Genomic DNA, 24,321 nt, shown 5'->3' on the forward strand with positions numbered 1-24,321 from the left:
GGCTAATTTTTTGTATTTTTAGTAGAGATGGGGTTTCACCGTGTTAGCCAGGATGGTCTCGATCTCCTGACCTCGTGATCTGCCCGCCTCGGCCTCCCAAAGTGCTGGGATTACAGGCTTGAGCCACCACGCCCGGCCTGCCCTCTGCCCATTCTATGCCCCACAGCCTTCAGTGGGACTGGGAAGCTGCTGAGGCCTCAGCAGAGCTGAGGACTAATGGAGGCTGATGAATAGGCTGAGAAAAGCCCAGAGCTGGCCTGAGGTGAAGAGGTGATTCCCACACTTTAGGATGATGTTAGAAGGTTTGGGCTTTGGTGGGAGGGGGACATCACTGCCTTAGCCAGAACGGACCTGTGGCCACGTTGTAGAACTTTTTTTTTTTTTTTTGAGATGGAGTTTTGCTCTTGTTGCCTGGGCTGGAGTGCAATGGCATGATCTCAGCTCGCTGCAACCTCTGGCTCCAGGGTTCAAGTGATTCTCTGGCCTCAGCCTCCTGAGTAGCTGGGATTACAGGTGCACACCACCACGCCCAGCTAATTTTCTATTTTTAATAGAGACGGGGTTTCACCATGTTGACCAGGCTGGTCTTGAACTTCTGATCTTAGGTGATCGGCCTTCCAAAAGTGCTGGGATTACAGGCATGAGCCACCGTGCCTGGCCCCAGAACATTCTTGCATTCTTGAATTTCCATGGGAATTTTTTTTTCCATTTTAATCTCTCAGGCATTAGAAACCAGAAGTGGCTCCTGTACAGATCTTGGTTTCCATAGCTTTCAGAGCTTCTGTGGGCTTGGGGATGATCCCGTCGGCAGGCTTCTCACTTTAGCAGCTGCAGAAGGCCCTGAGACAGCCCCACAGTCCTTTGCCTCCAGGAAAGACCTCCCGCCACCAGGCTCTAGGAACAATCCTAGACTTTCTACCTAATTTGTACTAGCTTATTCCAGAGTCGTATAGCCTAACAGCTGGGAAGAGCCTCCTGAGTTTCTCCTGCTAATATACACTGTCATTTGGTTTTATATGACTTTCAAGAGAAGATGGCAAACATCTGCTTACCTGTGTGTCTGTGTTACCTTGGATTCACCCTCTCTTCCCTCATCTAGGACGCGTGATAATGCTTTAAACACACACACACACACACACACACACACACAAACACACACACACACCCTCTGGAATTAACCAGTGCCAACTGCTGCAGCATTGCAGAGAAAAACACTCTGTAGTCACAAACTTATCTTCCAGTGCATATCTCCATTTAACTGGAGTCCAGTTAGTTGACTCTCTCTCAGACATAGCCCAGACAGCATAATGAGGGCATTTCCATCTGTGGCCTAATGAATATCGAGACTCCTAGGCTAGTTATTTCCAGGTCTGCCACCAGCTCACTGAGTGACCTTTGACAAGGCCCTGGACCTGTTTTAGCACCTATAAAGTGGGGTTAGCAATTTTATCCTAGTGAAGTGGGAGAGATAATGGCTGGGCTAGTGCTTTGAACCTGCAAAGAAATCATCATGAACACCATAATTATTTCCCCAGTTATTGCAGCAGCAGTCTCTCTGTCTGCCTTGAATGTCCATCACGGAGAAGACCTCGCTGATGGATAGGGGAAAATGTTATTCTGTCTGGGTGGACATTGGTCTAATTAATTACAAAGGGGTAGACTTCATGATAGGCAAAAGAGAATCAAAGAGGCCGGGTGTGGTGGCTCATGCTTGTAATCCCAGCACTTTGGGAGGCCAAGGTGGGTGGATCACCTGAGGACAGGAGTTCGAGACCAGCCTGGCCAACGTGGTGAAACCCTGTCTCTACTAAAAATACAAAAATTAGCTGGGTGTGATGGCAGGCGCCTGTAATCTCAGCTACTCGGGAGGGTGAGACAGGGAGAATCACTTGAACCCTGGAGGCGGAGGTTGCAGTGAGCTGAGATCGCACCATTGCACTCCAGCCTGGGCAATAAGAGTGAAACTCTGTCTCACACACACACACACAAAAAGAGAGAAAATCCTTAGGTGTGGGTTTAGAAGGAGTCATTCTTGGACACTTAGATCCCTTATATTGTTTTTGGAGTAAATCAGGGTCATAGAAAAATGGGCGAAAGGCATTGAAGGGAATTAGCATTCCAGAACATGGCTAGTTTTCCAAAGGTCTTGAGAGTGGAACCAATAGTTGGATAAGCCCTTCAATGCACTGAGTCCATTCATTCATCCTTTACTTCATTCATTTAGGAAAAACCCACTGGATGCCTAACAAAGTATCTGCTAGTTACAGAGCTGGGTTATATCAAAGATAAAATAATTATGGTCATAAGGGATTATAAGGACCTTCTAGTCAAATAGAGAGGATAACATATGCACACAAGTAACTTCAATTGAATAAAGTCTCACAAATAAAGCAAAACTTCTGGAGTATTCTAAGTGGGGAGAGATTCTGGCCTAGAAAACCTGGAGAAGGCTCTGTAGGGGTGAGCGGGAAGGATTGGGGCCTGTAGAGATGACAGATCAGGACTTGCCTAGTAGAACATAGAGTATGAGCAAAATTTATGGGTTCCTATATTTGGTGGCCAGGGTGCCTGAAAAGGAGCAGCAGGTAAGGTTGTGTTTGGGCTTGGGATGGAAGGTCTGGGGAGATTGGATGGGGACAAAGGGTCAGAGATATGTATCCTTTCAGGATTCTCTTGCCTTTTCTCATCTCTCTGAATCAGGTGCTCCTTCCTCCAATTCTAGCAGCTGGAGGCTCTCACCTGGGCCTGTGTAATCTCCAGCTTTCCTTTTCATCTGGCTAAATTTTACTCAAGGCCCAAGGCCCAGCTGAGATGCCTCCACCAGAAGTCTCCCACAACAGGCAGAGCCTGGCCCCACCACACGGCCCCAAAAGAACTTTTACACCAGAATTCTGCAAGTTTTCTTTGGCTTTCTTTTCTTGCCTTACTCATTGGATAGTAACCAATTTGAAGGTCAGAAATGGAGGTTTTCACCCTCTTTTCCACAGTTACATACATATACACACACACAGACACACGCATGCCCATACAGAATACCACAGAACTGGGCACAAAGTGTCCCCTCAATCATTAACCTTATTGTTTTGTTTTGTTTTTTCTTTTGAGACGGAGTCTCACTGTGTCACCCAGGTTGGAGTGCAGTGGCGCGATCGTGGCTCACCGCAAGCTCTGCCTCCCAGGTTCATGCCATTCTCCTGCCTCAGCCTCCTGAGTAGCTGGGACTACAGGTGCCCGACACCACGCCCGGCTAATTTTTTGTATTTTTAGTAGAGACAGGGTTTCACCATGTTAGCCAGGATGGTCTCGATCTCCTGACCTCGTGATTTGCCCGCCTCCGCCTCCCAAAGTGCTGGGATTACAGGCATGAGCCACTGCGCCCGGCCCATTAACCTTATTGTTATTCACTGCCTCCCAGGACTGGTTCCCAGCATAATGCACTGGAAAGAGCACAGGGCTTCAGCCTCACACAAATCTTTGAATCTGGGCTCTGCCCCTTCCTTTTGTTGTGTGACCTTGGGTAAGTTGCTTGACCTCTCAAAGCTTCATTTTCCTCATTTGTATGTGAGGAATAGTGCATGGCACTTAGTAGTAGTGTGGCAAATGATAGTCATTAATGATTATTGTTGTTGCTGCTGAGAGCCAGCAAGATCAGATGGTCTACAGGACCCAGGGCTGGGTTTTTATTTTCCTTCCCTTTTAATTTAGTTGTCTTCTTCTCCCATCTGCCTGCTCTGTGTCTTTCCTGTCACCTGTCTATGGGTCGGCCTGCCTCTCCCTCCAGCCTGGCTTTCTCTTCTCTCCTCAGAGAGCTCGGCTGTTGCTGACTCTCACAGGGTATGGGCTGTGCCTTGTGCAACATCAGTCAATAAAGATAAATTACAAAATCATTTGTTTTATTTGTTCTTGTTACTTTGAGGGCTGTCTGAAATTGCCTTTCTTTTGAAAGCCATATTTGCATATCTCTATGCTGGAGTCAAAGGCTGCAGCTGTGGTTTCAATACAATTTAAATATTAATAAAACCTCCTAAACCTTTAGCTGTTTTTTAAAAAAGCAGTCTTGCCCTTCTGCTCCTAGATTGCTAATATAATTTAATCTTTGTCCTTTGCATTGTACAGCAGTCCCCCCTTATCTGCGGGGCATATGTTCCAAGACCACAAGTAGATGCCTGAACCCTCGGATAGTACCAAACCCTATATATATTATGTTTTTCCCTATACATACATACCTATGATAAAATTTAATTTATAAATTGGGCACAGTAAGAGATTAACAACAATAACTAATAATAAAATAGAACAAGTCAAACAATACTTAGAATGGTGTACAATTTAAAACGAGTGACTGGTTTCCGGAATTTTCCTTTTAATATTTTTGGACCATGGTTGACCATAAGTAACTGAAATCAAAACCATGGATGAGTGGGGGGACTACTGTCTTTGCTTAAAGGGCCTTTTTGAAGTTAACTGAAGCCAGCTGTTGCAACCTTGTAGAGAAGAACCACTTACCAGCCCACAAACCTTATTTATCCTTAACAAGCCCAATATTCACTACAGACAAAATAATAGACCACAGGTAACATTTTATATCAATTAGCAGCCCCTTACACTAAGTCATTTGTTCTCAAACTTGAGCCTGTTGTAGATTCACAGGTTGCTGGCCCCACCTGTCTGGGATTCAGTGGGTCTGGGAATTTGCATATCTAACAAATTCCTAGGTGATGGTGTTGCCCCCTCACACTCCTATCAGGGGATCATGCTTTGAGAGCCTCTGCACTGAACTGTAAATGTTAAGCTGTCATATCATTTTGAGTCCTTGAAACCATGTCTCCACAGTTCATATTCCCCAGCCACCAGAGTCGGGAGGATCTCTCTCCAGATCTTGATTCCTACCAGTCCCTTAAACAATTGCTTACATTTTCCTGATCCTCCAGACATTCAGGATCAGCCCCTCTACACCTCCCCAATCCCTGCTCTCCATAGGAGCTGTTTCTAGTTTTCCTTAATTTTCTATTTGGCCAGATTCGTTGCTTTAATTTTCTCCTTGTTACAGGCAGAGTTACAGGCTGTTCAAGAAAACCAGGCATCACTGTAGTGGAAGGGGTTGCCGGCTCAGCCATTTTCCAGTAGTCTTTGATAAGTGAGCCCCCACATTCCCTGGGCAGCAGGCCCCATTCTCTAGGGCTTCTTTGCATAAATCTGCAGCTCCCCCTCATCCTGCCATTCTGTGTGTGCCATCTGCCTCTGGGGCTGACCTTATCTGCTCCTCGCAGCCTTCAGAGGACACCTTCTGGGCAGTTTGGCTCCTTCTGCTCCAACCACCCCAACATTGATTCCTTTCTTTTTCTCCTGCATATTTTTGAGGTGATACTTTGTTGATGATTCTGGTTGCATTTTTTAAGAGGGACATAATCTGCCAGAGCTCTTCTCTAGGCCCCCTCCCTGTGCCTGCATGATAATCCTTTCTCCTCCTTCCTTTCCAGCTTCTTTGTAGAAGTTTGTTTTGTAAAATGAGATAAAGGCAGTACAGGAACTAGTTCCCAATTGCTGCTGTGCCCAGAGAGGGCTAGAGATTGCGGGGTGGAAAAGTGGGAGGACATCTTAAAGTCAGAGGTCAAAGCAACGTGTATTAACTCCATCATCAGGTAGCACTCTTAACCTGGGCCAGGCACCATGAGGCCAGGGCCTGAACTTGACTTCTGGGAAAGGTTATGCAGAGCTTGAAACAGATGGGGTATATGTTTGTTGGGAGACCTTAGAGACAATTACAGAAAACTTTAATGTATTTTAGTCATCTTTGCTTTTACTCACTATTCCTGAAAAGGCAGGCTGTACTAGATGGATACTGCTTTTCCTATTAACCCATTAGTGATGGGGTCAGAAGGCTGAGGCCTGGCTTACCCTCAAGGCCCAGTAGCACTTCTGCTTGCTTCCCGCCTGCCTTTACTACTAACACCGAGACTCATCAACTCACTGGCAGGTAGACAGGGAGCTGGCATGGGCCCTTGGGAAGTCAAGCTGTAGGTGAGGATGAACTGGAAGGCTTTGACAACTAAGATACACAGTCATAAGCTGGGAAGCCAGAGAGAAGTGGAAACAGCAGCCATGATCCACTCCTGTAAGACCCTTTGCCTGACATGGGGCTGCTTTTACTGTCTCCTACTGTGGCCCAAAAGGGAAGTGAGTGTGAGTTCCCCTCAAAATCTAGTTCTCTCTCCAAATTCCCTTAAGGCTTGAACCTTCTGTCCCGGGGTCAGTGACAGAGGCAGATGGAAAGCTGATGATGGGAACAGAAAGGTGGCTTTGGGTCTCCATGTAGTCATTTTTAGCTGTGCAAATCTGAGTAAAATCTTACAAACAAGGAACTTGAGATTCAACTCCCATTTTTCCAATGAGGTAACAAATACCCACTTCATAGGGCTATGATGAAGACTGATATAAAATGTAATATTGGCAGTTAGCTCCATTTTCTCTATCTTCCTTCACTGTTTCCAGCAAATACAGCAGGACTGAACTATGTGATGACTTCATTCTCTTTGCTCAAAAAGGATTCCAATCTCTGAGCAGTGTGAGGACCAGGAAATAATGGTAGAGAGTGTCATCTGTGGATTAAGCATGTTAAATACAAGTGGTAGGCAGAATTCTAAAGATGTCCTCCCTTGATTGCTGTCTTCTGGTTATTCATTCCAACAGTAATCTAGGTACTGCTGCGAAGGGACTTTGCAGCTATAATTAAGGCTATGGGCCTTAAGATATGAAGATCACTTTGGATTACCAAGTGGGTGCAATCTAATCACTTGAGCCCTTAGAAACAGAGAAATGTCTCTGGCAGGAGTTAGAAAGATACAGTAGTCAGCAAGATTCAGTGTGAGAAAAACTTGACCACCCATTGCTGGTTTTGAAGATGGAGGCAGACAGGCCAGGAGCCTAGGAATGTGGGGAGCCTCAAGAAGCTGAGAATGATGCCCAGCCAACAGCCAGTGGGAAACAGGGATCTTAGTCCTAGAACTGCAAGGACCCAGAGCCTCTAGAAGGGAACACGCCCTGCGAACACCTTTATTTTGGCCTCATGAAACCTGAAACAAAGAAACAGTTGAGCCACCTCAGACTTCTGACCTTGCAACAATTTGTTTTGGCAGCAACAGGAAATACAAAAGGTATTTAAGCTGCCTCAATAAATCCTAGGAGGTAGATACTATCATTACCCCCATTTTACAGAGTGGGAGACTGAAGCACAGTGAAAAGGCTCTGAGAAAGTCGGCTGGCCTAAGTCTCAAGAACAGTCATTCATGGTGGAAGTGTTTGCTACCAAGTTTATTTGCAGTGTTAACAGCACAACATTTACAAAACGTATTTTGTACAATCAAGTCTTCACTGCCCTTGCACACTGGGGGGGCTAGGGAAGACCTAGTCCTTCCAACAGCTATAAACAGTCCTGGATAATGGGTTTATGAAAAACACTTTTTCTTCCTTCAGCAAGCAAAATTATTTATGAAGCTGTATGGTTTCAGCAACAGGGAGCAAAGGAAAAAAATCACCTCAAAGAAAGCAACAGCTTCCTTCCTGGTGGGATCTGTCATTTTATAGATATGAAATATTCATGCCAGAGGTCTTATATTTTAAGAGGAATGGATTATATACCAGAGCTACAACAATAAACATTTTACTTATTACTAATGAGGAATTAGAAGACTGTCTTTGGAAACCGGTTCTTGAAAATCTTCTGCTGTTTTAGAACACATTCTTTAGAAATCTAGCAAATATATCTCAGACTTTTAGAAATCTCTTCTAGTTTCATTTTCCTTTTTTTTTTTTTTTTTTTGAGCCACAGTCTCACTGTCACCCAGGCTGGAGTGCCGTGGTATGATCTTGGCTCACTGCAACCTCCACCTCCCGGGCTGAAGTGATTCTCCTGCCTTAGCCACCTGAGTAGCTGGGATTACAGGTGTCCACCACCATGACCGGCTAATTTCTGTATTTTTAGTAGAGATGGGGTTTCACCATGTTGGCCAGGCTGGTTTCGAACTCCTGACCTCCAGTGATCTGCCCACCTTGGCCTCCCAAAGTGCTGGGATTACAGGCGTGAGCCACCATGCCCAGGTTTCAAGTTTCCTTTTCATTTCTAATACCTGCCTCAGAATTTCCTCCCCAATGTTCCACTCCAACATTTGAGAACTGCCCAAGGACTATTCTGACTTTAAGTCACATAATCGATCCCAAGCACTCTCCTTCCATTGAAGGGTCTGACTCTCTGCCTTTGTGAACACAGGGTTTTAGAGAAGTAAACTTAGGGAAACCAGCTATTCTCTTGAGGCCAAGCCACTCTGTGCTTCCAGCCCTAAGCCAACAACAGCCTGAATAGAAAGAATAGGGCTGATAAATAATGAATCAGCATCTTGCTCAATTGGTGGCGTTTAAATGGTTTTAAAATCTTCTCAGGTGAAAAATTACCATAATTTTGTGCTCATGGCAGATTTCCAAGGGAGACTTCAAGCAGAAAATCTTTAAGGGACCCTTGCATAGCCAGAAGTCCTTTTCAGGCTGATGTACATAAAATATTTAGTAGCCAGGACAGTAGAAGGACTGAAGAGTGAGAGGAGCTCCCAGGGCCTGGAAAGGCCACTTTGTAAGCTCATTCTTGGGGTCCTGTGGCTCTGTACCTGTGGCTGGCTGCAGTCAGTAGTGGCTGTGGGGGATCTGGGGTATCAGGTAGGTGTCCAGCTCCTGGCACTGGTAGAGTGCTACACTGTCCAACACCCACTCTCGGGTCACCACAGGTGCCTCACACATCTGCCCAATTGCTGGAGACAGAGAACACAAGCAGAGATTAGTGTCAATTCATTCTCCTGGACTAGGCTCTAATCAATCGACTCCAGGGTCCTGGTTGTATGAGTTCTTAGGATTAATGAGGTAGAAGCTAATTTTTTTTTTTTTTTTTTGAGACGGAGTCTTGCTCTGTCGCCGAGGCTAGAGTGTGATGGCGCAATCTCGGCTCATTCAACCTCCGCCTCCTGGGTTCAAGCAATTCTCCTGTCTCTGCCTCCTGAGTAGCTGGAATTACAGGCACATGCCATCACACCCAGCTAATTTTTGTATTTTTAGTAGAGACGGGGGTTTCACAATGTTGGCCAGGCTGCTCTGGAACTCCTGACCTCAGGTGATCCACCCACCTTGGCCTCCCAAAGTGCTGGGATTACAGGCGTGAGCCACTGCACCTGGCCTTTTTTTTTTTTTTTTTTTTTTTTTGAGACGGAGTCTTGCTCTTGTTGCTCAGCCTGGAATGCAATGGCACGATCTCAGCTCACTGCAACCTCCACCTCCCGGGTTCAAGCAATTCTCCTGCCTCAGCCTCCCAAGTAGCAGGGATTACAGGTGCCTGCCACCATGCCAGGCTAATTGTTTTTTCTTTTTTTTCAGATGGAGTCTCACTCTGTCACTCAGGCTGGATTGTGATGGTGTGATCTCAGCTCACTGCAACCTCAACATCCTGGGTTCAAGCGATTCTCCTGCCTCAGTCTCCCAAGTAGCTGGGACTACAAGTGCGTGCCACCATGCCTGGCTAATTTTTTTTAGTATTTTTAGTAGAGATGGGGTTTCGCCATATTGGCCAGGCTGGTCTCAAACTCCTGATGTCAGGTGATCCGCCCTGAGGCTGAGGCAGGAGAATCATTTAAACCCAGGAGGCGGAGGTTGCAGTGAGCCAAGACTGGGCCACTGCACTCCAGCCTGCTAAGTGACAGAGTGAGACTCCACCTCAAAAAAAAAAAAAAAAGGCAATGCTTCAGGACATAAGGCCTTGCTCTGAAGAGGCCCTAGGAGTGACTCCTGGTGACAGTGAAAGCCCACAGCCTCTGGCAACTGTATTAACATGAACTTCAATCTGTTAAAGGAAAGCCACCAGGAAAACAGCACTGTAATTTAACGATGTGGAAAAATGTATGTAATATCTTAAGGAAAAAAGCAAAACAGTGTAATTATGATCACATTTTATAAAATACACGTGTATATATACGCACATATGCCTGGTGGAGTTTTATGGTGATCATCTCCAAGTGGTGGAATTACTGGGATTATTTTATTGTTTTTGTGTAAATTTATACTTTCTTTTTTCTTTTTGAGACACGGTCTCGCTCTGTCGCCCAGGCTGGAGTACAGTGGTGTGATCGTGGCTCACTGAAGCATCAACCTCCTGAGCTCAAGTGATCCTCCCACCTCAGCTTCCCAAGTAGCTGCGACTACAGGCATCTGCCACCACACCCAGCTACTTTTTAAATTTGTTGTACAGATGAAGTCTCCTTATGTTGCCCAGGCTGGTCTCGAACTTCTAGGCTCCCACCTTGACCTCCATCTTGACCTCCCAAAGTGCTGGAATTATAGGCATGAGCCACCATGCCCGGCCTTGATTTATGTTTTTGTGATGAACATTCATATCTTACTCCCACCCCATGGAAACAGTTCATGTATTACTTTTACAATATAAAACAAATAACAATAAAAACATCAAAAAGACATTTTAGCCATTCATTCAACAAATATTTAAAATGTGCCAAGAACTGTGCTACTCAAGCACCAGGTAATGAGTGATAAACCAAACCCATGCAAAAGGACCCCATATAGCACAGGTACATGCAGGCACCTTACCATGGAAGCCATTGTCCTCTGTCCAGGCATCTGGCTGCACAACCACAATTGGGTGGACACCCTGGATCCCCAGGAAGGAAAGAGCATTCAAAGTGTCAAAGTAGGACTACTGGAACTGTCACTTCATCATTTTTTTTGTTTGTTTTTGAGACAGGGTCTTGCTCTGTCACCCAGGCTGGAGTGCAGTGGTGTGATCTCAGCTCACTGCCACCTCTGCCTCCTGGGCTCAAGCAATCCTTCCATCTCAGCCTCCTAAGTAGCTGGAACTACAGACACGTACCACCACCCCTGGCTAATTTTTTTGTATTTTTGGTAGAGACAGGGTTTTGCCATGTTGCCCAGGCTGGTCTCAAACTCCTGGGCTCAACTTCACCCCCGGGATTATAGGCATGAGCCACCGCACCCAGCCTTGGCTAATTTTTAATAATTTTTTTGTAGACATGAGGTCCTACTGTATTGCCCAGGCTGGTCTTCAGCTCCCAGGCTCAAGCGATTCTCCCACCTTGGCCTCCCAGTGTTGTGATTACAGGGGTGGGGCACTGGCCCAGCCCATCATTTCTCTCTCTCTCTTTTTTTTTGAGACGGAGTCTCGCTCTGTCGCCCGGGCTGGAGTGCAGTGGCGCGATCTTGGCTCACTGCAACCTCCGCCTCCGGGGTTCAAGCGATTCTCCTGCCCCAGCCCCTCAAGTAGCTGGGACTACAGGCGTGCGCCCCTACGCCCAGCTAATTTTTGTATTTTTAGTAGAGACGGGGTTTCGCCATGTTGGTTGGCCAGGATGGTCTCGATCTCTTGACCTCGTGATCTGCCCACCTCAGCCTCCCAAAGTGCTGGGATTACAGGCGTGAGCCACCGCACCTAGCTTTTCTCTCTCTCTCTTTTTTTTTTTTTTTAGACAAAGTCTCACTCTGTCACCCAGTCTGGAGTGCAGTGGTGCAATCTTGGCTCACTGCAACCTCTGCCTCCCACGTTCAAGCGATGCTCACACCTCAACTTCCCAAATAGCTGGCATTACAGGCATGCTCCACCAGGCCTGGCTACTTTTTGTTTTTTTTTTTTTAGTACAGATGGGGTTTCACCATGTTGGCCAGGCTGGTCTCAAACTCCTGACAAGTGATCCACCTGCCTCGGCCTCCCAAAGTGCTGGGATTACAGACATGAGCCACCATGCCCAGCCTCCAGCCCATCATTTCTTGATGATTTGTTGAAACACAGTATGCTGGGGCAGTCACAGAGAGGAGGGGGAGGGACATATGGGAAAAAGAGTTAGAGGGAAAAAGTCTTCCCTCAGTATATTTAATATGTGCAGTTCTCAAATCCTTACCCATCCCTTACAGATGGAGTCTTTTGGCACAGGTATGTGGGCAGAGAAGACTTCTGAGGCTACAGTAGGGGCATCCATAGGGACTGACAGGTGCCAGTCTTGCTCACAGGAGAGAATATTGTGTCCTCCCTCTCTGACAGGGCACCCAATACTTACTGTGCCAAGGGTGAATGATGAAAGCTCCTTCACCACAGAAGCACCACACAGCTGTACCATCCATTCCAGTTGATCTAAAATGGACATTTAGATGTAAAATCACTGCAGTAATCTGCATACTTAACCCAGGCCCTCTACCCTACACTCTCCGGATGAAGGCTTATAGCAAGACCTCTCAATGGGAGAGTCTGTCTCTCTGCTCCAAAGGACAATGGTCTTAAAATAGTAGGGGTATGGATTTTAAGTCAATTTGCCACTGATATGCCATGTACTCTGGTTATCAGTCTCCATAAGGCCACTTGGTATAAGGTTTGATAGTCTCTCAAATAAAATGCTTGAAAGAAAAAAAAATCAAAGATCTAATTTCCATTAATTTGCTAAATTGCTGGCTAAGACACTGTGTGAAAAAACACCCACCTTCCTTCCCTCCCTTCCTCCCTTCATCCTAATTCTGTGTTGGTAACTGATAATCACGGCCACTGAAAATACCATACTTGGTGGTAATTACTGTAAATGTCAAGAGATGGGAAGATAATTCATCCAGTCAAAAAAATACATGTTATCCTGGTTAGAGACTCAGCAGGGAAAGGCTACATGCTGAGCTGGAATCCATATACTCAGGGGAATAAAAATCAGAAGAGACTGTGGAGATGCTGTGTACCTGGAAAATCAGAACTGCCCAATGGGCTCTGTTGGCTGTGTTCTTCAAGACATTCATGTATGTTGCTCTTTCCCATCAGCCCGTTTCTGGGAATTGCTGAGGTGCTCCTGTCTGTCTGACTGAACGAAGGTTGACTAACTCACCCCCAAAATAATACTTTCTGGCAACCCTGGTTTCCACTATACCAAAGTAAAAAAACACTGAGAAATCCTTGAGTGGAACTTGGAAATTTCATAAAAATCCAATTGATAACTAATAAAGAGGATGGAAACAAAATTACATTGCAGCCAGGTTTTCTTGCTGTCACTCATCTGCCTGTGACCAGATGCTAAGGCCTTTCTCTAAGGTGTAAGAGGACCTAAGTCCCTGGGCAGAAGCAGGCACAGGAGGCAAAGGTGGGTAGCTTTTGCTGTGAAAAGAACAAACCAAATTTATACACACACCAAGGCCTTTGTGCTGCGCAACTCCAGAGGTAAGCTTTATAGCAGTCCTAAGCATAACATTGTATTAAGTGTCAAGTTTAATTAGAAAATGTTCATGGAGAGGGCTGGGCACAGTGGCTCATGCCTGTAATCCTAGCACTTTGGGAGGCTGAGGCGGGTGGATCACGAGGTCAGGAGATCGGGACCATATTGGCTAACACGGTGAAACCCCGTCTCTACTAAAAAAAAAATACAAAAAATTAGTCGGGCGTGGTGGCACACGCCTGTAGTCTCAGCTATTTGGGAGGCTGAGGCAGGAGAATCACTTGAACCCGGGAGGTGGAGGTTGCAGTGAGCCGAGATCGCGCCATTGCACTCTGGCCTGGGCAACAGAGACTCGACCTCAAAAAAAAAGAAAAAAAAAAAGAAATGTTCACCGAGAATCTTCCCCTGCTCTGGGCCCGTCCGTGGTGGGCCAGCTGCTGTGCTTTCTTCTATGTAAGTAAATTAAGATGGTTTAGGAAGAGGAGAACTCCTCCTTGATTTTTACCTATCCAAAGATATTTTCTCACTAACATGTTGGCACTAACAGCAGCTCAACGCCATCTGAACACATAACATACTGAATCCTAACTATTAACCACCTTCATGCTCTTGAGAAGGGGGACAAGGTATAGTTTTTTTTTGCCATAGGATAACATTTAGGTGCTGTTTTGTTTGGAGAGTGGTAGAGAAATAGAATAGCCTCTAGAACATTTCAGCAATCTGAGGAACCCCCATCGTGGGATCTTGCTTATAATACTCCACTATGTAAGACAAAGGCTGGTGCTGGAACTCTGGGGTTCTCCCAGGCTCTTACCTGTGGGCATGTTGGTGAAGGGCCCATAGCAACAGATTTCTAGCCCCCTGAAGATCTGGAAGAAGAGAGGAAGAGAGAGGGACAGGGGAATGGAGAGAAGGAAAATCTAGTTATAAAAGAATATTGGCTTTTATTCAAAAAACAGACTTTCAAAAAGGAAGAGCTTTTCTTTTTCTTCTGTTCACCACCTGATGATTTCTGCTGCTACTTCCCAGGGACAAGCAGTCCAATGTCCAGAACACTACTGGATTTCAGAAGATCTTCTTGAAGTGCATATGTAGTTGACCTGCACTCTACAGGCATTCTTTGTCATTCAAGGACTGAGCATCTCACTTTTGTCACCAATCAGGCCAAGGCTCCTCCCTAATGATCTCTGCAGGTGCTTTAACTTGTTAGATGCAAGGGAAAAAAGGTCCTTCTGTATGTTTAATAAGAGGCTTGGATGGCTAGAAACTCAAAGTTATTGGCTGAAGTTTGATGTTTATCCAGACTTGGTACCTCAAGTACTCACTATGACCCCATCAACAGAGGGGTCTATGTTGATTTTAGGTGTACATGCTCCTTGTCTCCTCTGACTTTTTTTTTTTTTTTTGAGACGGAGTCTCTCTCTGTCACCTAGGCTGGAGCGTAGTGGTGCGATCTGGGCTCACTGCAACCTCTGCCTCCAGGGTTCAAGCGATTCTCCTGCCTTAGCCTCCTGAGTAGCTGGGATTACAGGCGCGCACCACCACGCCCGGCTAATTTTTGTATTTTTAGTAGAGACAGGGTTTCACCATGTTGGTCAGGCTGGTCTCGAACTCCTGACCTCGTGATCTGCCTGTCTTGGCCTTCCAAAGTGCTGGGATTACAGGCATAAGCCACTGCGCCCGGCCCTCTCTGACTTTCTTCTAGCCCCCTAAACATCTGTTCCTTCCTTCTCACTACTCTGAGAATGGCCATTGTATCTTTAGGCCACCTAAGCAGTTTTTAATCTAGAAGTGAAGCCAGGTTCTGCCTCTCCTCATTGAACTAGTCTGACTACCTGGTTTCCTGAAGACACAGATCACACTGCACTGCCTCTTCCACTTACAGGGCTTGGCAACACTGTTCAAAACAACTTTCTGTGATAGTCACAATGTTCTATATCTATGCTAATAAGGTAGCCATGAGTCACATATAGTTATTGAGCACTGGAGATGTGGTTAGGGTGAATGAAGAACTAAACTTCATATTTTAATTTTTTTCTTTTTTTTTGAAGAGATGAGGTCTCATTCTGTCACTCAGGCTGGAGTACAGTGGCACGATCATAGCTTGCTGCAGTATTGAACTTCTGGGCTCAAGCAATCCTCTTGCCTCAGCCTCCTAAGTAGCTGGGACTACAAGTGCACACCACCATGACTGGCTAATTTGTAAAATTTAAATTTAAACAGTCCCATGTGGCTGGTGGCAACAGTGTGGGACAGTGCAAATTCTCATAAACACACTGGCATAGGTTCTTAGCAAATAACTTGGGTATCACTTAAAAATAAACCCTAAAATTGTATCATTTTGGATGGATATGTTTTGGGTGACTCTCAGTGTCTTGACCTTCCCATTGCAATAAAAAGAAAATTGCCAAGGCCTAAAATTCACCTGGCTTCAAAGAGACTGCGATAGAGAAAAAAATCAGGAAGCTAAAAATACACGGATGGCCTTTTAGAAAGTGGTCACCCTCCCCCTTGACAGACAGACGGACAGAAACACACACACACACACACACACACACACACACACACACACACACTCTCTTACTTTACCGCCAGAGTGAAAAGAAATGGCAGTAGGACAAGTCTGTGTGTTTTTTTTTTTTTTTTGAGACGCAGTCTTGCACTGTCGCCTGGGCTGGAGTGCAATGGTGCCATCTCGGCTCACTGCAACCTCCACCTCCTGGGTTCAAGTGATTCTCCTGCCTCAGCCTCCCTAGTAGCTGGGATTACAGGTGCACACCACCACACCCGGCTAATTTTTTGTATTTTTAGTAGAAACGGGGTTTCACTATGTTGGCCAGGCTGGTCTTGAACTCCTGACCTCATGATCCACCCGCCTCAGGCTCCCAAAGACAAGTCTGTTTGTTTTAAGGGACAGCATCCATCTGTGCCACTCTCACTACCTGTATGAATAAACCGCACCCCCAACCTGTTGATAGGACCTGCATGCTCATAATGCTAGAAGTTCTCCCCAGGCAGCCAAGTGGAGCCAAATGCTGACATGAAAAGTACAAAAGATTAGGAATGTTTATATCCAGGCTAACACTCAGTGATGAGGATGCCTAGTTATGAGATAAGAAATTTGAAGTTTCGGGCTTGGCGTAGTGGCTCACGCCTGTAATCCCAGCACTTTGGGAGGCTGAGGCAGGCGGATCACGAGGTCAAGAGATGGAGACCATCCCGTCTAACACAGTGAAAACCCGTCTCTACTAAAAATACAAAAAATTAGCTGGGCATGGTGGCGGGCACCTGTAGTCCCAGCTACTTGGGAGGCTGAGGCAGGAGAATGGTGTGAACCCAGGAGGTGGAGTGGAGCTGGTAGTGAGCCGAGACGGCGCCACTGCACTCCAGCCTGGGTGACATAGCGAGACTCTGTCTCAAAAAAAAAAAGAAATTTGAAGTTTCAGGCCGGGCGCGGTGGCCTGTAATCCTAGCACTTTGGGAGGCCGAGGTGGGTGGATCACTTGGGGTCGGGAGTTCAAGACCAGCGTGACCAACATGGAGAAACCCCATCTCTACTAAAAATACAAAATCAGCTGGGCGTGGTGGCACATGCCTGTAATCCTAGCTACTTAGGAGGCTGAGGCAGGAGAATCACTTGAACCCTGGAGGCAGAGATTGCGGTGAGCCAAGATCACGCCATTGTACTTCAGCCTGGGCAAGAAGAGCAAAGCTTCGTCTTAAAAAAAAAAAAAAAGAAATTTGAAGTTTCACCTCTACATATACATTTCTCTTCCAGAGAAAAATACTATGGTGACATTTAGTATTTTCAGAATGTCATTACTTTGACCACATACTTTCCATCATTGCTATTCTGCATGGAGGAAAAAATCCAAAGCACTAGAATTTCTTTTTAAAGAGGGGAAGAATCTGGTGCTAATACTGCCTAGCATACAGTGGAGGAAAAACAGAGGACTGGCTCACATGGCGCTCCCCTGTGGTAAAGGCAGAAGCAGAAATAAGGCCAGCAGCTTTTCTTGGCATCTGGAACAATTACTTGATAGGCTCAGAAGGTAAAAACAGGCTGACCTCAGCAGTTCAAAACTCCAGGCTTCATTTGTGATCATGTCCCAAAGCAGTTTTCCTTAGGAAATTACCTCTACTGGTTCCCTCTTAAGTTTCTATAAAGGGACAGAAAGTGCTCAGTAGAAGGATGTTTTGTTTTGTTTTGAGACAAGGTCTCACAATGTTGGCCAGGCTGGAGTGCAGTAGCACCATCATGGCTCACTGCAGCCTCGACCTCCCAGACTCAAGCATTCTTCTCACCTCAGCCTCCTGAGTAGCTGGGAATACAAGAGTGTGCTACGACACCCAATTAATTTTTAAATTTTTTTGTAGAGACAGGGTCTTACTATGTTGCCCAGGCTAGTCTTGAACTCCTGGGCTCAAGTGATCCTCCTGCCTTGGCCTCCTAAAGTGCTGGGATTACAGAAGTGAGCCGCTGTGCCCAGCTGGGATTTTTTTTTTTTTTTTGAGATGAAGTCTCCCTCTTGTCCCCAGGCTAGAGTGCAGTGGCGCAATCTTGGCTCACTGCAACCTCCGCCTCCTGGGTTCAACCGATTCTCTAGCCTCAGCCTCCCGAGTAATCCTGAGCTAGGATTACAGGTGCCTACCACCACGCCCAGTTAACTTTTGTATTTTTAGTAGAGATGGGGTTTCACCATGTTGGCCAGGCTGGTCTCGAACTCCTGACCTCAGGTGATCCACCCGCCTTGGGCTCCCAAAGTGCTGGGATCACAGGTGTGAGCCACCGCGACCAGCCTGGGATGTTCTGAAATGCCTGGTAGTGCACACTTGAAAAAGGAAGAAAAGCAGACTGGGAACATAGCACTTAGGGAGCTGAGAAAGCAGCCAGCTCAGGCCTGACAGGTAAGTGTGAAATCTTGCAGACTTTCTCCCTGTGAGGAAGTCAGAGTTCTGGCTAAGTCATCTGCTACAATATGATCAGGAGAAAGTCATTGAGTCTTCTTGGGTCTCATCTGCAAAGTTGTTAGAATGCTCCATTTTTTTTCCCTCCGTGAAGCCTTCAACAACTTTTCAAGAAACTATAGTATTGTTGTTAAGAGTTTAGAATTGGAGGCCGGGTGCAGTGGCTCATGCTTGTAATCCCAGCACTTTGGGAAGCCAAGGCGGGTGGATCACTGGAGGCCAGGAGATCAAGGCCAGCCTGGCCAACATGGCAAAACCCCATCTCTAATAAAAATATAAAAATTAAGGCCGGGTGCAGTGGCTCATGCCTGTAATCCCAGCACTTTGGGAGCCTGAGGCGGGCAGATGATCTGAGGTCTGGAATTTGAGACCAGCCTGGCCAACATGTTGAAACCTTGTTTCTATTAAAAATACAAAAAACTATCTCGGTGTGGTGGCACGTGCCTGTAATCCCAGCTATTTGGGAGGCTAAGGCACGAGAATCACTTGAACCTGGGAGCTGGAGACTGCAGTGAGCTGAGATTGCGCCACTGCACTCCAGACTGGCCAACAGAATCAGACAAAAAATTAGCTAGTTGTTGTGGCACATGCCTGTAATCCTAGCCACTTGGGAGGCCAAGGCACAAGAATTGAACAAGGTTTGAACTTGGGAGGTGAAGGTTGCAGTGAGCAGAGATAGTGGCACTGCACTCCAGCCTGGGTGACAGAGTAAGACTCTGGCCCGAAAAATAAATTAACAAAGAATTTAGACTTGGAGCTAGACTTCCTGAGTTCAACTTCTAGTTCCATCACTTATTACCTGTGTGACTTTGAGCAACTTATTCAACCTCTCTGAGCCTCAATTTTCACATCTGTAATATAGGCATAATTACAGTACATAGCTCATAGAGTTGTCATAAAATTGTTAATTAGTTAAAACATGGTTGGGCCTTTAGAGCAGTCCCAGCATAAAGTGATCTTTTTTTTTTTTTTTTCTTTTGAGATCTTCTGTCTGTCGTCTAGGCTGGAGTGCAGTGGCGCAATCTCCGTTCACTGTAGTCCCCTCTTCTTGGGCTCAAGAGATACTCTCAACTCAGCCTTCCGAGTAGCTGGAACTACAAGTACATGCCACCACGCCTGGCTAATTTTTGTATATTTTTTTTGGTAGAGATGGGGTTTTGCCATGTTGCCCAGGCTGGTATCGAACTCCTTGGCTCAAGCGATCTGCCTGCCTCAGCTTCCCAAAGTGCTGGGATAACAGGAACGAGCCGCTGTGCCTGGCCCAGTGAACATTATATAAATTTTAGCTATTATTGGCTGGGCACGGTGGCTCACGCCTATCCCAGCACTTGGGGAGGCCAAGGCGGGAGGATCACAAGGTCAGGGGTTCAAGACCAGCCTGGGCAAGATGAGTTTTCAGTGAGCTGAGATCGCACCACTGCACTCTGGCCTGGGCAATGGAGTGAGACTCCGTCTTGGGAAAAAAAAAAAGAGAGAGAGAGAGCAAGAGAGAGAGAGAGAAAGACACCCCAGTGAAGTGAAAAGAGCAAAGTCTTTAGATTCTCATCTGCTTAAAGTCCCAGCTCTTCCACTTATCAGCTAAGATCTGAACCCGAGACGGGAATCCAAATTACACAGCCTCTCTAAATCTCTTAGTTTTATCATTCATAAAGTAGAGACAATACTTATTTATGTGGTTGGGATGGAAGAGTGAAAAAAGAACCTGTGTGAAAGTATCTAGCACTGTGTATGTATGTAATAAGTCTTACAAAATGAAGCGGCCCATCTCTGCAAAGGGGAGTGGAATACAGAGTGGTGGGGTGAGATTTTTGTCAACTTGAGGGAGGGAGCTTTACCTTTCTGTCCTGGGATTCTCTTGCTCGCTTTGGACCTTGGTGGTTTCTTCCATTGACCACATCTCCTCTGACTTCAAAATCATGCTGAAAGAAACCAAACACAACCCATCAGGATAAGAGAAAGAGAAGCTTCCTTCAATGGAAGTGGAGCAGACACGTCATATTTAAGGCATTCAGGCCAGGCGCAGTGGCTCACCCCTGTAATCCTAGCACTTTGGGAGACTGAGGCAGGCAGATCACTTGAGGTCAGGAGTTCGACACCAGTCTGACCAACATGGTGAAACCTCATCTCTACTAAAAATACAAAAAATTAGTTGGGCGTGGTGGCAGGCACCTGTAATCCCAGCTACTTGGGAGGCTGAGGCAGGAGAATCTTTTGAATGCAGGAGGTGGAGGTTGCAGTGAGCTGAGATGGTGCCACTGCACTCCAGCCTGGGTAACAGAGCGAGACTCCATCTCGCATCTCAAAAAATTAAAAATAAAATTAAAAAAAAAAAAATTAGGCCGGGTGTGGTGGCTCACGCCTGTAATCCCAGGACTTTGGGAGGCCGAGACAGGCGGATCACGAGGTCAGGAGATCGAGACCATCCTGGCTAACACGGTGAAACCCCGTCTCTACTTAAAATACAAAAAAATTAGCCGGGTGTAGTGGCAGGCGCCTGTAGTCCCAGCTACTCGGGAGGCTGAGGCAGGAGAATGGCGTGAACCCGGGAGGCGGAGCTTGCAGTGAGCGGAGATCACGCCACTGCACTCCAGCCTGGGCAACTGAGCGAGACTCCGTCTCAAAACAAACAAACAAACAAACAAAAAAACCAAAAATTAGCTGGGCGTGGTGGCATGCACCTGTAGTCCCAGCTACTCGGGAAGCTGAGGCATGAGAATTGCTGGAATCCAGGAGGCAGAGGTTGCTGTGAGCCACGATCATGCCACTGCACTCCAGCCTGGGTGACAGAGTGAAACTCTGTCTCAAAAAAAAAAAAAAAAAAAAAAAAAATTTAAGGCATTCAGAATTGCCAGGCAGGCAGTAGCTGGGCACCAATGGCTCACACCTATAACCCTAGCACTTTGGCACTTTGGGAGGCTGAGGCAGGAGGACAGCTTGAGACCAGGAGCTGGAGACCCAGCTGGGCAACACAGTGAGACCCCTTCTCTAGAAAAAAGATACATAAAACCTCAGCCAGGCATAGTTGCATGTGCCTGCAGTCCCAATTTCTTGAAAAGCTGAAGCTGGAGGATCACTTGAGCCCAGGAGTTGGAGGCTGCAGTGAACTGTGATCATACCACCACACTCCCGCCTGGGTGACAAAGTGAGACTCTGCTAAAAAAAAACACACACACACACACACATAAAACAAAAAAAAGAAAGAAAGAAAAAGAATTGCTGGGCAGAGATTTGACCAAAAGCAAGTAAAATCATTCTTTTTGGTAGACCAGGTGAAATGACTAGGATCTCAGCTGTTGAAATCAATTCACTGAAGCAAATCTTTTGTGTGCAGAACTTAACAATCGGCTTTTCACCTCACTGGGACTTAATGTATTTTAATTTTCAACATCTATCTCCTCTCAAAACATTCACTTAGCATTTAGATTAGACTGCTAATACTGTGCTGTTATAAAGGTAACTGAAAAATTCCCTATCTCCTAAATCAATTGTATATTATCATCTAAGGAAATAAAGGCTTTTCAGATTTCCACTGAGAGATTTACAGTTAACACAACCAAAATGATAAAATATACATTCAATGCACTAAAGAAAGTTAGAGGTTTTTCATAATTACTATTATGACTGGTCATGGACATGAGAATAAAGAATAATGAGACTGGGGAGAAATTTGAGGAAGAACGCTCAGAAACAATTCTGACTGAAACTCAGATTGTAGGGAAGGCCTTATGTGTTGCCAAGAGTATTGTGAAGAAAACTAAAGGCAAGAGTATAACCACTGGCTATTACTAGGGGAAGAATATCTGACATTTCCTAGTTACTTGAATGAGGAGTCTAGTGATAAATTTGTCAGAAGACTCCCATGTTCATAGTCCTCCTTGTACCCCTGAGCTTCATACAATGTGTCCAACTGCCTACTTAACTTCTCTATCCAGAAGTCTAGTATACATCTCAAAATTCATGCATCTGGCCGGGCACAGTGGCTCACACCTGCAATCCCAGCACTTTGGGAGGCCGAGGTGGGTGGATTACCTGAGGTCAGGAGTTTAAGACCAGCCTGGCCAACATGGTAAAACCCCATCTCTACTAAAAATACAAGTATTAGCCAGGCATTGTGGCAGGTGCCTGTAATCCCAGCTACTCGGGAGGCTGAGGCAGGAAAATCACTTGAACCGGGAGGCGGAGGTTGGAGTGAGCTGAGATCGTGCTACCGCACTCCATGCACTCTAGCCTGGGCAACAGAACGAGATGCTGTCACAACAACAACAACAACAACAACAACAACAACAACAACAACAACAAATTCTCACATCTAAAACAGAGTTCCTGGTTCCATTCCTGCTTCCTGCCTTTCCCACTCCCCCATATTCCCTACCATGCCTTCTTCATCTAATTTAATATTACTAACAAGATCTATTGTTCAAGCCAAAACCCAAGTGTCACTCCTTCAATTTCTCTTTACCTTATCCTCCAAATTTAATCCATTAGCAAGTCCTCTCTTCAAACCCATCCCAAACCAACCTTGTTTTTAACCATCTCCACACCACCAATTACCACAAGGATAAAATCTGAATTCCTTACCACCAAATACTATGTGATCTGGCCCTCATCTATGACCTTCTCCCATTCCTTGTGTAATCTCTGCCTCCACACATAATTTGCAAATTACTCCAGCTACACTGGCCTATTATTATTATTATTATTATTTTTGAGACGGAGTCTTGCTCTTTCGCCCAGCCTGGAGTGCAGTGGCGCAATCTCAGCTCACTGCAATCTCCGCCTCCTGGGTTCAAGCGATTCTCCTGCCCCAGCCTCCCAAGTAGCTGTGATTACAGGCACATGCCACCATTCCCAGCTAATTTTTTTTTGTTTTTGAGATGGAGTTTCACTCTTGTTGCCCAGGCTGGAGTGCAATGGTGCGATCTCAGCTCACCACAACCTCCACCTCCCGGGTTGATGAAGTGATTCTCTTGTCTCAGCCTCCCGTGTAGCTGGGATTAGAGGCACGCGCCACCACGCTGGGCAAATTTTTGTATTTTTAGTAGAGACAGGGTTTCTACCTCAGTGATCTGTCCGCCTTGACCTCCCAAAGTGCTGGGATTACAGGAATGAGCCACCACACCCAGCCGTGCCCAGCTAATTTTTGCATTTTTTAGTAGAGATGGGGTTTTGCCACGTTGGCCAGGCTGGTCTCAAACTCCTGACCTCAGGGGATCTGCCTGCCTCGGCCTCCTAGAGTGCTGGAATTACAGGTGTGAGCCACTGTGCCCGAACCTTTTATCATTATTATTTCTTGAGACAGGAGTCTTGCTCTGTCGTTCAGGCTGGAGTGCAGTGATGCGATCTTGGCTCACTGTAACTCCTACCTTTCGGTTCAAGTGATTCTCCTGCCTCAGCCTCTGGAGTAGCTGGGATTACAGGCACTGGGATTACAGGCACACACCACCACACCATGCTAGTTTTTTGTATTTTTAGTAGAGATGGGGTTTCACCATGTTGGCCAGGCTGGTCTCGAACTCCTGACCTCAAGTGATTTGCCTGCCTTGGCTTCCCAAAGTGCTGGGATTATAGGCACGAGCCACCACACACGACCAACATTGGCCTATCTTTTAAAAAATAAACCAAGCTCTGGCCGGGCACAGTGGCTCACACCTGTGATCCCAGCACTTTGGGAGGTTGAGGTGGTTGGATCACTTGAGTTCAGGAGTTTGAGACCAGCCTGACCAACGTGGTAAAACCCCATCTCTACTAAAAATAAAAACTAGTCGGGTGTGGTAGCACGCGTGCCTGTAATACCAGCTACTCAGGAGGCCAAGGCAGGAGAATTGCTTGAACCCAGGAGACAGAGTTTGCAGTGAGCCAAGATTGTGCCACTGCACTCCAGCCTGGGGGATAGAGGGAGACACCATCTCAAAAAAACCAAAATACAGAAATCAAAAAACCACACTCATTATTACCTCAAGACCTTTATGTTTGCTATTCCTCTGCCTATAAGATGCATTCCCTTCATTTTTCAAGGACAATTATTTCTTGTTATTTAGGTCTCAGCTCAATTTTTTCAGAAAGGCTTTCCCTGGCCTCCTTAAACGAAAGTAATCAACAACCTTTGACA

The 24,321-nt window shown here is 46.0% G+C and overlaps 1 protein-coding gene across 368 annotated transcripts in view, besides 1 other annotated feature; it reads right to left on the reverse strand.

The window, feature by feature from the left end:
• Positions 6,037-6,579: an enhancer, noted in NCBI's record as "H3K27ac-H3K4me1 hESC enhancer chr17:41195058-41195600 (GRCh37/hg19 assembly coordinates)". NCBI's record gives its function as "activates a minimal SCP1, AML or CMV promoter by ChIP-STARR-seq in naive H9 embryonic stem cells {active_cell/tissue: H9 hESC(naive)}" and the evidence as "EXISTENCE:reporter gene assay evidence [ECO:0000049][PMID:30033119]".
• BRCA1 (BRCA1 DNA repair associated) overlaps positions 7,291-24,321 on the reverse strand; it is a 126,033-nt gene continuing 109,002 nt past the window's right edge. For 349 of the 368 annotated variants that reach the window (NM_001408458.1, NM_001407967.1, NM_001407959.1 and 346 more), the window contains 5 exons: positions 20,048-20,131; positions 14,059-14,113; positions 12,117-12,190; positions 10,639-10,699; positions 7,291-8,798 (listed from right to left, as the gene is read on the reverse strand). In NM_001408458.1, coding sequence (NP_001395387.1) covers positions 8,674-8,798; positions 10,639-10,699; positions 12,117-12,190; positions 14,059-14,113; positions 20,048-20,131 — 399 coding nt within the window. In that variant the 3' untranslated portion in view covers positions 7,291-8,673. The remainder of the gene's footprint in view (positions 8,799-10,638; positions 10,700-12,116; positions 12,191-14,058; positions 14,114-20,047; positions 20,132-24,321) is intronic. The other 19 variants (NM_001407945.1, NM_001407940.1, NM_001407861.1 and 16 more) reach the window with 2 other exon arrangements.

This window comes from Homo sapiens, chromosome 17 (assembly GCF_000001405.40).
Source record: "Homo sapiens chromosome 17, GRCh38.p14 Primary Assembly".
In the NCBI taxonomy this organism is placed as follows: domain Eukaryota; kingdom Metazoa; phylum Chordata; class Mammalia; order Primates; family Hominidae; genus Homo; species Homo sapiens.